At 46.0% G+C, this 12929-nt stretch overlaps 1 protein-coding gene across 11 annotated transcripts in view, besides 1 other annotated feature; it reads right to left on the bottom strand.

Annotated features, from left to right (window-relative positions):
* DNAJB6 (DnaJ heat shock protein family (Hsp40) member B6) overlaps positions 1 to 12929 on the bottom strand; it is an 80436-nt gene that overhangs the window by 52030 nt on the left and 15477 nt on the right. For all 11 annotated transcript variants that reach the window (NM_058246.4, XM_006715823.3, NM_001363676.1 and 8 more), the window contains 2 exons: positions 6773 to 6863; positions 2140 to 2249 (listed from right to left, as the gene is read on the bottom strand). In NM_058246.4, the coding sequence (NP_490647.1) occupies positions 2140 to 2249; positions 6773 to 6837 (175 nt within the window). In that variant the 5' untranslated portion in view covers positions 6838 to 6863. The remainder of the gene's footprint in view (positions 1 to 2139; positions 2250 to 6772; positions 6864 to 12929) is intronic.
* Positions 7586 to 7635: an enhancer, noted in NCBI's record as "active region_26928". NCBI's record gives its function as "activates an Ori minimal core promoter by ATAC-STARR-seq in GM12878 lymphoblastoid cells {active_cell/tissue: GM12878}" and the evidence as "EXISTENCE:reporter gene assay evidence [ECO:0000049][PMID:35858748]".

Raw genomic sequence — 12929 nt, 5'->3', positions numbered from 1 at the left:
CCCGGATGCAAGGCCTGGGGCTAGTGTGCCCCTCTCCACTGACAGTCTTCACACTTACATTCCAAATGCTACTTATATCCCAGAACAAAAACAATGACATTAGAAGCACTGGTACTTCTGACATGACACCATCTGCGTTCCTCAAAAAATCTCATAGGCTGGATGCAGTGGCTAACGCCTATAATCCCAACACTTTGCGTGGGCAAGGAAGGTGGATCACTTAAGCCCAGGAGTTCAAGACCAGCCTGGGCAACACGGCAAAATCCCACCTTTAAACACAATACAAAAAAGTTAGCTGGGCACAGTGGCACCCACCCGTGGTCCCAGTTACTCAGGAAGCCGAGATGGGAGAATCGCTTGAGCCTGGGAGGTCAAGACTGCAGCGAACTGTGATCATGCCACTACATTCCAGCCTGGGCAACAGAGTGAGACCCCTTCTCAATTTTTAAAAAGTAGAAGAAAATCTCACATTCCACAAAATGGGAAAACGAGCTTAGAAACAAACCACTTGCAAGCAGTTTCAGGTAGCCAGTGCCATGGCAAGAACAATGACCATGTTTTGAAGACAACTCCAGCTGGCACTGAAGGCTGCCTAAAAGGACATGAAAAACACACCTCATACACCTCCCAAAAGAACCAAGCGACTTTTCAGTGTGGTAGTTTAAAGCTGCTCTATCAAATATGAAGCTTCATTTTGGCCCTCACTTTTCCTAATGTTACTAGTCCCTAAAATCCTGAATCTGGCAATACTGAATTAGCACACAAACAACAAGGACCGAAGACCAAGATGGTAACACTGAGGCCTGTGCCCTCCTCTGTCACTCCCAGCGCACAAATCTAAGGGAACAAGCCTGGCGCAATGGTGCTTGGAACTTGAGGAGAGAGGACGATCACCTCAACCCAGGAGTTCAAGGCCTCCCTAGGAAACATAGCAAGATCCTCTCTCTTTAAAAAAAATAAACTTTCCAATGAATAAGCTCAACAGTTCAAGACCTTAAATGCCACATTTCAAGAAGACTTCAAATATCGGTGTTTTTATGTCTTTTCATATTTTTTGAAGTAAAATGTTTGGAATTTCCTCTAAAACAAAGGGGGTGGGCCACAGTGTCACCAGAGAAAGCAAGGCTGGTGGTGTGCTGGTAGCTGTTGAAGGTGGCAAGCTTACACTGGGTTCCTTCTGATTGGTTTGGTTTTGTTTTGTTTTTTGGAGACAGTCTCGCACTGTCGCCCAGGCTGGAGTGCAGTGGCGCAATCTCGGCTCACTGCAACCTCTGCCTCAAATTGGGTTCTTTAAAAAAAAAAAAAATTTTTTTTGTTGTAAATAAGGGCCAATTACCTGACCACATGCAGATACACTTAACCAAGTGCCCACTTCCAGGGTTCAGTTAGTCCATCCCTAACCTTGGAAAAGCCTCGGCCTTTGCTCACAACAGGCCACCCAGCACTGCAGCAGACAGGGGCACTGTGTGGCTTTCCAGTTCTGTCACTGTTCCCCCACCCCAGGCCCCATGCACAGCCTTTACTTCCCCCATGGAACCCTGACTGCATCTAGGCGACAGCTGACCTCTGACCCCTCACCCATTTGTGAACTAGGCCAATGGATCTGACTTCCAGTAACATAGAACACCTCTGCTCCAGACCTAGGAGGGGAAAACAGGCCTGAAACTGGAAATCTAAATTTTAGCTGTATGTTCCATCCCCTCTTTTTGGGAACTAATGACATCCTCTCAAGCAGTAAAGCTGACTCCACTGGAATGGTATTGTTTAAGCCAGTGGGGGTGAGCAAGGTCAGAATGATCACACACAACGGGGGCAAGCACGCCACATGCACAGTGACCTGAGTCCCGCAACCTCCTCTCTCCCAGGTTCCTCAAACCCAGGATGTCTAGTCCCGCTTTTAAAACAGCCATCCTAGGAGAAACTACTAGAAGCCCTGGAGCTCCCCAGCACTCGTGGTTACCTAAATCAATTCAAATCTTCACGAGAAAAGTAAAAATCTCTTAGAAGGGCCCAAAATCCAGTAGGCATCAAAAACAAGTCACTTGAGTCCATACTGTGCTACCCTGAGGAGGATCCCAACACCCACTCCGCATTCCGGCATGCCCGCTCAGGGTCCTTCAGCAGCTCGCTGTCACTCACCATCCGACAGCACTTCATATGCCTCCGCTACTTGCTTGAATTTTCTCTCTGCTTCTTCTTTATTCTCAGGATTTTTATCTGGATGCCACTTCAGTGCCAGTTTCCGATATCTTGGAAAGAATAAAGGATATAGATCACATTCTAAATCCAGAAATCAACTATGCTTTTGAAACTAACATCATTAACCACGAGAATGGCTTCAGAGCTGCCAACTGGTGAGATGAATACTGGTTTTAACTGTAAAACCTCCCTTTCCTCTACAATGAAATACACAAAGTTCTAAAATCCAGATAGCCAGGCGTAGTGGCGTGCAGCCACAGATAGACCCAGCTACTCCAGAGGCTGAGGCGTGACAACTGCTTGAGGCCAGGAGTTCAAGGCTACAGTGAGCTATGATCACACCACTGCAGTCCAGCCTGGGCGACAGAACAAGACTGTCTCAAAATTAAAATTGTAAAAATACTCATTAAAGTAAGTTTTAGAATAAAAATCCTGATAGCATAATACAAACGAACCTCTAGAGATAGAAAAATAAAGATCACAGTGTCCACAACGTGGACTGACAGTGACAAGACTGAGCAAGTATGTGAAGTAAAGGAGAAAGGCCAGGCGTGGTGGCTCATGCCTGTAATCCCAGCACTTTGGGAGGTGGGCAGATCACCTGAGGTCAGAAGTTCGAGACCAGCCTGGCCAACATGGAGAAACCCCAACGCTACTAAAAATACAAAATTAGCCGGGCATTGTGGTACTTGACTGTAATCCCAGCTACTCAGGAGGCTGCGGCAGGAGAATCACTGGAACCTGGGAGGCAGAGGTTGTGGTGAGCCGAGATCGCACCATTGCACTCCAGCCTGGGCAACAAGAGCGAAACTCCGTCTCAAAAAATTTTTAAAAAGGGAAAAAAAGGCCTGGGTCACTGAGCAGCAAGATCCAACATCACCATTCATATCCTTCCATGTTCTGATTCCCAGGACCCTACTTCCTCAGCCAGCCCCACTACCTAGCTCATCTGTGTGCCAAAGGTGAATCACCTGCCACCCAACAGGCCAGGATCTCAGAATCTTTCAAACACCCTCTGTGCCAGATTCAAGATCTAAACAGAGTTAAAACACTGACTTCTACAAAGATTCTATGACCAAGGTCATATTCTGTTGCAGAGTTCCAACTGACCAAATAATTGCACGCTATTTAAATACAAAAAAAAAGGCCGGGTGCAGCGGCTCACACCTGTAATCCCAGCACTCTGGCAGGCCGAGGTGGGTGGATCACCTGAGGTCAGGAGTTCGAGACCAACCTGGCCAACATGGCAAAACCCCATCTCTACTAAAAATACAAAAAGCCGGACATGAAGGCACGCACCTGTAATCCCAGCTACTCAGGAGGCTGAGACAGAAGAATTGCTTGAACCCAGGAGAAAGAGGTTGCAGTGAGCCAACATCGTGCCACTGAACTCCAGGCTAGGTGACAGAGCGAGCCTCCGGCTCAACATGAATGCATGAATGAATGAATGAATGAATGAATGAATACAAAAAAATCCTCTAGTCTAATTAGCAAAACCTAAGCAGCATATATTCAAAAGGAGGGTAACGTTAAAAAAGAGAAGCAGCATACCCCTCAAAATTTCAGACTAGTATACTAATCTGACAGTGCTTTTAACACTAGGCAAGTTATTACTGTAAAGCTGTTGTGGCTCAATTTAACTTACAACATGTTCAACAAAACCTTGGCTTAACCATACTAAAATCTGATTAAAGCTGGAGTCCAGAATACTTAACAGTAATTTATGTCACTGTGGACCTAAACAAACATGTAGCAGCCGGGCGCAGTGGCTCATGCCTGTAATCTCAGCACTTTGGGAGGCTGAGGCAGGCAGATCACGAGGTCAAGAGATCGAGACCATCCTGGCCAACATGGTGAAACCCCGTCTCTATTAAAAATATAAAAATTAGCTGGGCATCATGGCAGGCGCCTGCAGTTCCACCTACTCGGGAGGCTAAGGCAGGAGAATCGCCTGAACCTGGGAGGCAGAGGTTGCAGTGAGCCGAGATCACGCCATTGAACTCCAGCCTGGGTGACATAGCGAGACACCGTCTCAAAAAAAAAAAAAAACGTGTAGCAGTGGATCAAATAACCCTAAATGTGCCAGAAATCCTCAGTCAAAAATAACAGACCATACAAAAGACAAAAGAGAAAAAATGATTAGTGTGCAGTACTACCTATCATCTAGTGTTCATATGAAAACTTGGCAATGGATGAGAATGCAGGACAAGATTCAACTGTGTATGCCCCAGTCATACACTACTAAAATATTTAAAAATCAAGGTGTAATACAACACGATATGCAAGTGTAAACAGTGCCAAATGACTTTGAATGTTGACCTTCAGATCTGTTGGACCTGCACACCAGTACTTCAGCACCAAGGAAGGAAGGCCCATGGTGTGTGACTCAAACCCAGGAAGAGTCTGGTATCTCAGGAGAGATGCAGAACAGGTGGCAGCCACAGACCTTTAAGTCTTCAATCAAAAACTGTCAACACACAAAGCCAAGGGTACACAAGATAGACTAACAGCACGCCCCCATAGCTATCATTCTGCTCATTTTTAAAAGTCAGCATTTATACAACTGTACACTCAGGAGTGCAGGAAATCTCACTGCTTTTAAAGGTAACAGCCTTTTCTAAATTCCTACTTCAACGTCATGCTAGAGACACTCAGCAACCTGTATGTTCTCAGAAACAACTAAAACCAATCTACTCTCTAATGACCTCTATCATAAAGGTATGTAATTTCCATCATTACTGAAAGCACTGTACACATATTATGCTTATCCATTGATAAGGGCTGGCTATGTCCCCACCCAAATCTCAACTTGAGTTGTAACTCCCAGAACTCCCAGGTGTTATGCGAGGGACCCAGGGGGAGGTAACTGAATCATGGGGACTAGTCTTTCCCGTGCTATTCTCCTGATAATAAGCCTCACAAGACCTGATGGGTTTATAAGGGGTTTCCGCTTTTGCTTCTTCCTCATTCTCTTGCTGTCGCCATGTAAGAAGTGTCTTTCGCCCTCCTCCATGATTGTAAGACCTCCCCAGCCATGTGGAACTGTAAGTCAAATTAAACCTCCTTTTCTTCCCAGTCTCAGGTACGTCTTTATCAGCAGCGTAAAAACAGACTAATACATCCATTAACTTATTCGAGAGGAGTAAGGTATTCCCAACTGTCTTCGTCTTATAATCTGTCAAGTATGCCTGGCTGTTAACATTACTGATAAGAATAGTGTGAGCCTCAAGTGTGCAGCACAGGCTTCCTCACAGTGTGGGAAACCTCACTCTACTAGTGACAGCATCAGGGCCTGCCTGACCTCTCCTCAGTAGACTGCTTCTACTAGGTTCCTCGGCAGAGGTTTCAAATAACCTTCAGGCAACGTCAGCCATCCTGACTTGGCTTTTTTGAGACAGGGTCTCGGCTTGGTTGCCCAAGCTGGAACACAGTGGCACGAACATAGCTCACTGCAGCCTCAACCTCCTGGGCTCAAGCAATTCTCCTGCCTCAGCCTCTGGAGCAGTTGGGACTACAGGCATGTGCCACCACACCCAACTATTTTTTTTTGGTCAAGACAGTATCTCATTTTGTTGCCCAGGCTGGTCTCAAACCCCTGGGCTCCAGTGACCCTCCCACCTAGGCCTCTCGAAGTGCTAGGATTAGAGGTGTGAGCCACTTGCCTGGCCGTAATTTAGCATTTTAAAATGAACTATCTCAGCTACACACAGTGGCTCACAAATATAACCGCAGCAATCTGGGAGGCCAAGGCAAGAGAATCGCTTGAGCCCAGGAGTTTGAGACCAGCCTGAGCAACATATTGAGACTCTGTATTTTTATTAAAATTTAAAAATTAAGCAAAATGAACTATTTGGCCCCCAAAAAAGTTAATTCTATCTTCAGACCCACTAAGTCTAGCAGTATAGACACTCCATTATTTATTAACAATTTTTTTAAGTTGGTTCCAACTATTCCAGGCTAACTGCTCTCTAGCTATGTTAAAATCTAACAATCTGTTTCATGACGTCTTTGCTGTATACTCTACATTCACAGTTAACACCTCATTAATTAAACAGACTAAGGTTACCGTGAGAGCCTTCTGTGGCTGAACTGCCCTCCTCACAATGGCCAGGCCCTGGTCACACAGATGCAGGTACCACAGGCAGCGCTGCAGTTCTCGAACTTTCATATGAATCAGAAGGGACTCCAGTGGCATAGGCCGGAGCCCAACAATCACAACAAGAAAATTTGAGTGCTATGTACTCTGGGCCCCTGCCTTCCAAAGGGGCACTCAAGAATGCCAAGTCAGCTCCATTTTCAAAGTCCAATGTAAAAGATGTTTGGGATTATCTCACATCCTCAGTGAAACAATCATCAACTTCAGATATAAACCAAGTGACTGACTAATGAAGAGCAAAGCCCAGGCCTAGACTGCAAATGCTCGTTAACTGCTCTGTCAAATTAAACTATGTGGCATTCAAAGACTGGTATACTACATTAAAAGCCATTTTCATAGGCAATAGAAGAAGTTATACTACTCAATTACCAATGTACCACTGTGAAAATGCATTACCACAGAAATAAAACTACTTACGCCTTTTTAATATCCTCGGGTGAGGCATGTCTCTGCACGCCTAGAACTTCATAGTAATCCACCATGTTTTACGAGATTGTTGGAATGGGTCCTGCAAGTAAAAACAGGTGGTCAGTGATGAGGCTGCTGGGGATGGGCAAATCACGGTGGTGGGATGGGTCTGGAGAGGGAGGAAGGGGTGGTGTCACCTTAGCACCTACTGGCCTACAGAGGGAACTTCCACTAGAGCTAACCACTAGCCTGCTGGGCCAAGACCTTGTCTGGGAACTGGTTCCCAGATTCATGCCCTAAGACCCTTCTAGAGACGGGGAAAAAAGCTCTGAAATAGCCTAATAATAGCCTAAACTAAACAACAGGTGACTCTAGGCAGAGACTCCGTGCCACTTGACCACTAGCTGACAAAGTCTGTCATGTGTTCCTAGACACGGTCTGTGCTCAGGGAACGTCAGTTACCTCTTTCATTCAATGCATTCCTGTGCCAGGCATCGGGCAAGACCACGGGGCTCCAAGGACAAACACGTTGTCCCTGCCCTGAACTAACTTCACATGGGAACAATAGAAAGCCATCCTTCCACCATTCTGTCACCCACACGAGGGAACAGCAAAAGCCCTCCCACACATCTCCCAAGAGAGAAAGACCTTTGACTACACAGCAGTTAGCGTTAACTTTACCCTCTGGTTCCAAGCTCCCATCCATTCCTCTACCAAAGAAATACAATATTGCCCTGTTGACCACACTAATTAGATAGTATCACTACCGAATGGAAGGTGGAAAACCAGCAGCAGAGATTCATTCTCTAAGTTCCCCTATGGATTACGTGGTTCAACCTTGTTACTTCCCCGGGCAGTAAAATGTACAATGAAACCCATTCTGCTTCTGCCAGCTCTAATGGAGGATGTAGCCTCTGGTCCCACAAGGAGGAACTACGCACACTGCTGCTTTAAGATGTGACGTTTCCTAACCAATTTACTTCTTTCAATTTGACTGGCTAACCTACTCTTTTAAAACAACAATCAAGAATCTGCACAGCCGGGCGCGTGGCTCACACCTGTAATCCCAGCGCTTTAGGAGGCCGAGGGAGGTGGATCACTTGAGGTCAGGAGTTCGAGATCAGCCTGGCCAACATGGTGAAATCCTGTCTCTACTAAAAATACAAAAATTAGCCGGCATCGTGGTGCACACCTGTAGTCCCAGCTACTCGGGAGGCTGAAGCAGAATTGCTTGAACCCAGGAGGCAGAGACTGCAGTGAGCTGACATCGTGCCACCAGACTCCAGCCCATGCCACCGGACTCCAGCCCGGGCGACGGAACGAGGAAGGAAGGAAGGAAGGAAGGAAGGAAGGAAGGACGGAAGGAAGGACGGAAGGAAGGACGGAAGGAAGGAAGGAAGGAAGGAAGGAAGGAAGGAAGGAAGGAAGGAAGGACAACAGTATCACAAAGCCACAAAGACACATCTGTGGAAACTTCAACTCTTGGTTTTTGTTTTTTGTTTTTTTTTTTAATTGAGACAGGGTCTCACTTTGTTGCTGATCTTGGTCTCAAACTCCTGGGCTCAAGGATTCTTCCCACCTCAGCCTCCCAAAGTGCTGGGACTGCAGGCATGAGCCACCAAACCTGGACCTAAAACTCTTGTTTTTATGGAAGTCCTTTCATCAAAAAAACAAAAAACTATAATGGAAATCAGGATCTATTTAGATGTATATAAACTACATTATCAATTCGACAGAATGACTAACATCAAACTTAGAAAAGAAATGTACATCTTCAAATACATGACAGCAAAGATTCTAGGTGTTAAGTTTAATATGCCAACTACAAGATACGGAATTTAGAGTATCAAAATGTTCTTTTTCTTAAGTAGATTTGTTCCCAGTATTTTTAAAATTACAACTTAGAAAAAAACTTGTTCCTATTTTCTTGTAATTATTCCAATTTAACGTTATCAGCTTTGCTGGATACATAATAAAACAAAGATAAAATATTAATTGGAGAATGTGCCTAAGGGTATACCACTGCACAGTTCTTTCCACTCCATTTGGAAATAATCAATATAAAATATTAGGGACTTCATGTAATAAGTTACAAGGTAAGGAACCCCTAGTTATGAAAGATTTCCTCCCTGGTAGTTAGAATGACATGGCAACATACAGGATTCAAGCCACACAGGTCCGACCAGTCTCTAGAGAAAAGACAGGAGTCGACTCCCGTAAGTAGGAACACCGCAATCTTCTTTCAGTAACTAAAAACCTGCCCATCAGTCACAGCACACAAGACAGAGCAGGCAACAAGCAGCAGGAAAGCCAGCGTTTCTTCACGTCTCCCTCATTCCCTTGGCTGAGTGACTACGTGAGGTTATTTTCACTCCAGCTCCAGTTTGCTGCCAACGATCTGAGGTGGCATTTTGGCAGTGATGCCAGTGGCAGTACCTAGCAGAAACAGAGGGAAGCTGCTAATCCACTCTCACTAACAGAACAAGAGCAGAAATCTCAGTACCAGTCTCCCCATGCCAGACATCTGGATCATCCCCTCTGAGCACTATATATAGCAAGAGGCCATTCAATGTGCCACACACCAAGCACACATGCCCTCGCAAGTCCAAACAGCTCATCTTCTATCTGCACTTGTGTGCCTGTGTTTGTGCATATGGTGGTGGGAATGGGAGGAAGACACCTCCCGAGGCAGTGAGCACAGAGGTGAGAACGTGGGTGTGGGTGAGGGCCGCGTGGCCAGCTGGGGAATGCTGTGATTTACTTCACCACCAAAAACACTCTCACTGAAAGCCTGCTCTGTCATGTACGTGCAGCATCCACTAACAGCACTCGGTATTCATGCAGCACTCCATCAAATGGCTAGTTTCCTTACCAAATGAAGGCTACCCTACAAGGAAAGCATAAAGGCAGTATGAGAGCCACCCCCTGGAGTGGATGCCCTCACCTCTGCGCTCCTCCTGCACTGCTTACCCTTAGCCGCTCCACTTCCTTGCCTGGACTCATCCCCCAGTCCTGCTGCAGCTCCCCACTGCCTGCCACTGGAGGCTCTTATTTAAGGTCAGTAAAAAACCCACAGCACCACCCACAGACGTTTCCCAGCTCTCCTTGTCCAACTTCTCTCTCCATCTGCCTTCCACCACCAGCTTTCACCCCTCCACTGGCCCGCTGAAGAAACCACGGGAATGCTGGCCGGGTGCGGTGGCTCACGCCTGTAATCCCACCACTTTGGGAGGCCGAGGCGGGCAGATCACGAGGTCAGGAGATCAAGACCATCCTGGCTAACACGGTGAAACTCCATCTCTACTAAAAATACAAAAAATTAGCCAAGAGAGGTGGCGGGTGCCTGTAGTCCCAGCTACTCGGGATGGTGAGGCAGGAGAACGGCGTGAACCCCGGGAGGCGGAGCCTGCAGTGAGCCGAGATCGCGCCCGCGCCACTGCACTCCAACCTGGACGACAGTGAGACTCCATCTCAAAATAAATAAATAAATAAATAAAAGAAACTACGGGAACGCTAAAGGCTCAAGGCCAACTCTCATCCTACATGTGGGTTTTCATCCTTTCCCATTACATAAATATAATTTACTTAGCAATGAGTCCCAGATGTAAGCTCCAAGCTCAGGCCTCTCCTGGGCACTTCAGACACAAATAGACAGATGACTACTTGACACAGCCACTTGGATGTCCAGCAGACATCCTAAATAGAACACGACCAAAATTTAACTCTTAATCCTCCCCACCTCCTACATACCTGGTCATTTTCTAGTAAATTCTACCTTGAGCTCCGAGGTGCCTGTGAAATGTTCACCTTCGCCAACGTCACTACACTCAGCACACAGACACAAATAAATCACAAAGTTCTGCCGAGTCTACCTCTGAAATAAATGAAATTCATTCACTGTTCTTTATCTTCACCAGCATCATTATCCCTTACCCTGACCTACAGCAGCCTCTAATTTCATCCTGCCCTGTGCTCTCAGAGATGTCAGCTTATAAATGTGCAGATATTGGCTGGGCACGGTGGCACACACCTGTAATCCTGGCACTTTGTGAGACCAAAGTGGGAGGACTCCTTGAGCCCAGGAGTTGGAGACCAGTTCGAAAGCGTGCCACAGCACTCCAGCTTGGGGTGAGAGCGAGACCTGTCTCCAAAAAAATGAAAATAATTTTTTTAAAAAAAAAATTAAAACTAAAAATGAATAGCTGGGCACAGCGGCTCACACCTGTAATCCCAGCACTTTGGGAGGCCAAGGTGGGTGGATCACCTGAGGTCGGGAGTTCGAGACCAGCCTGATCAACATGGAGCAACCTTGTCTCTACTAAAAATACAAAATTAGCCGGGCGTGGTAGCGCATGCCTGTAATCCCAGCTACTCAAGAGGCTGAGGCAGGAGAATCGCTTGAACCCAGGAAGCGGAGGCTGCGGTGAGCCGAGATCGCACCATTGCACTCCAGCCTGGGCAACAAGAACAAAACTCCATCTCAAAAAAGTCGAAAAAAACAAACAAAAATGAATAAATGTGTAGATTATTATCACAACAGATACAATCTGTGGTCCTGCCCTGGACAAAACCAGCTATAAAGTACAGGTCAATTCAGAATTAAATTGAAATAAAAATTTACTATACTGGCTAATGCTAGATCAAGCAAGAAAATTTAAAAAGCTATCCAAAATCACAGACTCAGGCCAGGCGCAGTGGCTCACTCCTATAATTCCAGCACTTTGGGAGGCCAAGGCAGGAGGACTGCTTGAGCCCAGGAGTTCAAGATCAGCCTGGGAAACACAGTGAGAACTCTGTGCAACAAAAAAAAAATTTAAGTAGCTGTGCATGGTGGCATGTGTCTGTCATCCCAGCTACTCAGGAGGCTGAGGTGGGAGGATCACTTGAGCCAGGAAGGTTGTCAAGGCTACAGTGAGTCAGGACTGCACCGCGGCATTCCAGCACAGGCAACAGAACGAGACCCTATCTCCCATCCAAGCACTAACCAGGCCCAACTTATCACAAACAAACAAAAAAAAATACATACACACACACACACACACACACACACACACACACACCCCGGTCAAGAAAAACAACGGGACAGACAACCTGTAACTAAGAGTAAATGACAACTAAATACAATCTGGGTTCCTCGGATGGTTTCTAGAACAGGAAAAGGACATTAGCAGAAAAACAGGTGGAATATGAATAAAGTCCACATTTAACAATACTGTAGCGGTGTCAACTGCTTACTTTTGAGAAATTCACCACAGTTACCACAGTTACAGAAAGATTAAGGGAAGTTGGGTGAATGGTATACAGGAAAATCCCTGTACTATCTTTACAACTTTTCTGTAAATCTAAAACTACCTCAAAATAAAGTTTAAAAACTTCAAAAAGACGAAGTGTACATCAAAAGGACACAGAAACCAAACTGGACCGGGTGCGGCAGCTCACACCTGTAATCTCAACACTTTAGGAGCCCGAGGCGGACAAACTGCATGAGCCCAGCAGTTCAAGACCAGCCTTGGCAACACGGCGAAACCCTGTCTCTACGAAAAATTTTAAAAATTAAAAAAAAAAAAATTTGATAGGGCAATTCCTGACCTTAACGAGAATGTGGGCTTCAAAGTGAATTGACTGAATTGAATTTAAAACCTACATTTAAAATTCTTGAGTTCATGTCACTCTAAAAAGCCAGCAAGCACTAAGAATCAAGGATTTACCACCCTGCCTTCCCTGTACAGGGAAGCAGTAATGTTCACAGCGTAGGAACTTGGAAGTGGAACTGGGTGTTTATCGTAAACAAGCCGTGGTTCCTTGGAAAACTACCTACTCACTGTGGTTGCTTCCCCACCCTGTGAAGTGGGTGACATCCACTTCCATGGTTGTTTACAGATGATGCTCTCCAAGGGAAGAAAGCCCTGAGCTCCATCTAGAATATCCTAAGTGCTACCTGCTTGTGATGAAGTAGAAAGGAACCAGTAATACACGGAGTGGATGGTCTCACACAATGAGGAAGTGGGAAGGAAAGAGAAAAGCAGGCAGGAGCGATGGGCACACAGACAGCCGCCTGAGCACAGTCAGGAGAACTCATCTGCAGAGATGCCACACCCTCACCAGGGAGCCAGCAGGAATAGTCAAAGGACCTCCAAATCACCCCCACCCCCATCTTCATACCACC

The sequence above is a fragment of the Homo sapiens genome, chromosome 7, assembly GCF_000001405.40.
Source record: "Homo sapiens chromosome 7, GRCh38.p14 Primary Assembly".
NCBI classification, from domain to species: domain Eukaryota; kingdom Metazoa; phylum Chordata; class Mammalia; order Primates; family Hominidae; genus Homo; species Homo sapiens.
This window is presented reverse-complemented; position numbering and strand designations above follow the sequence as displayed.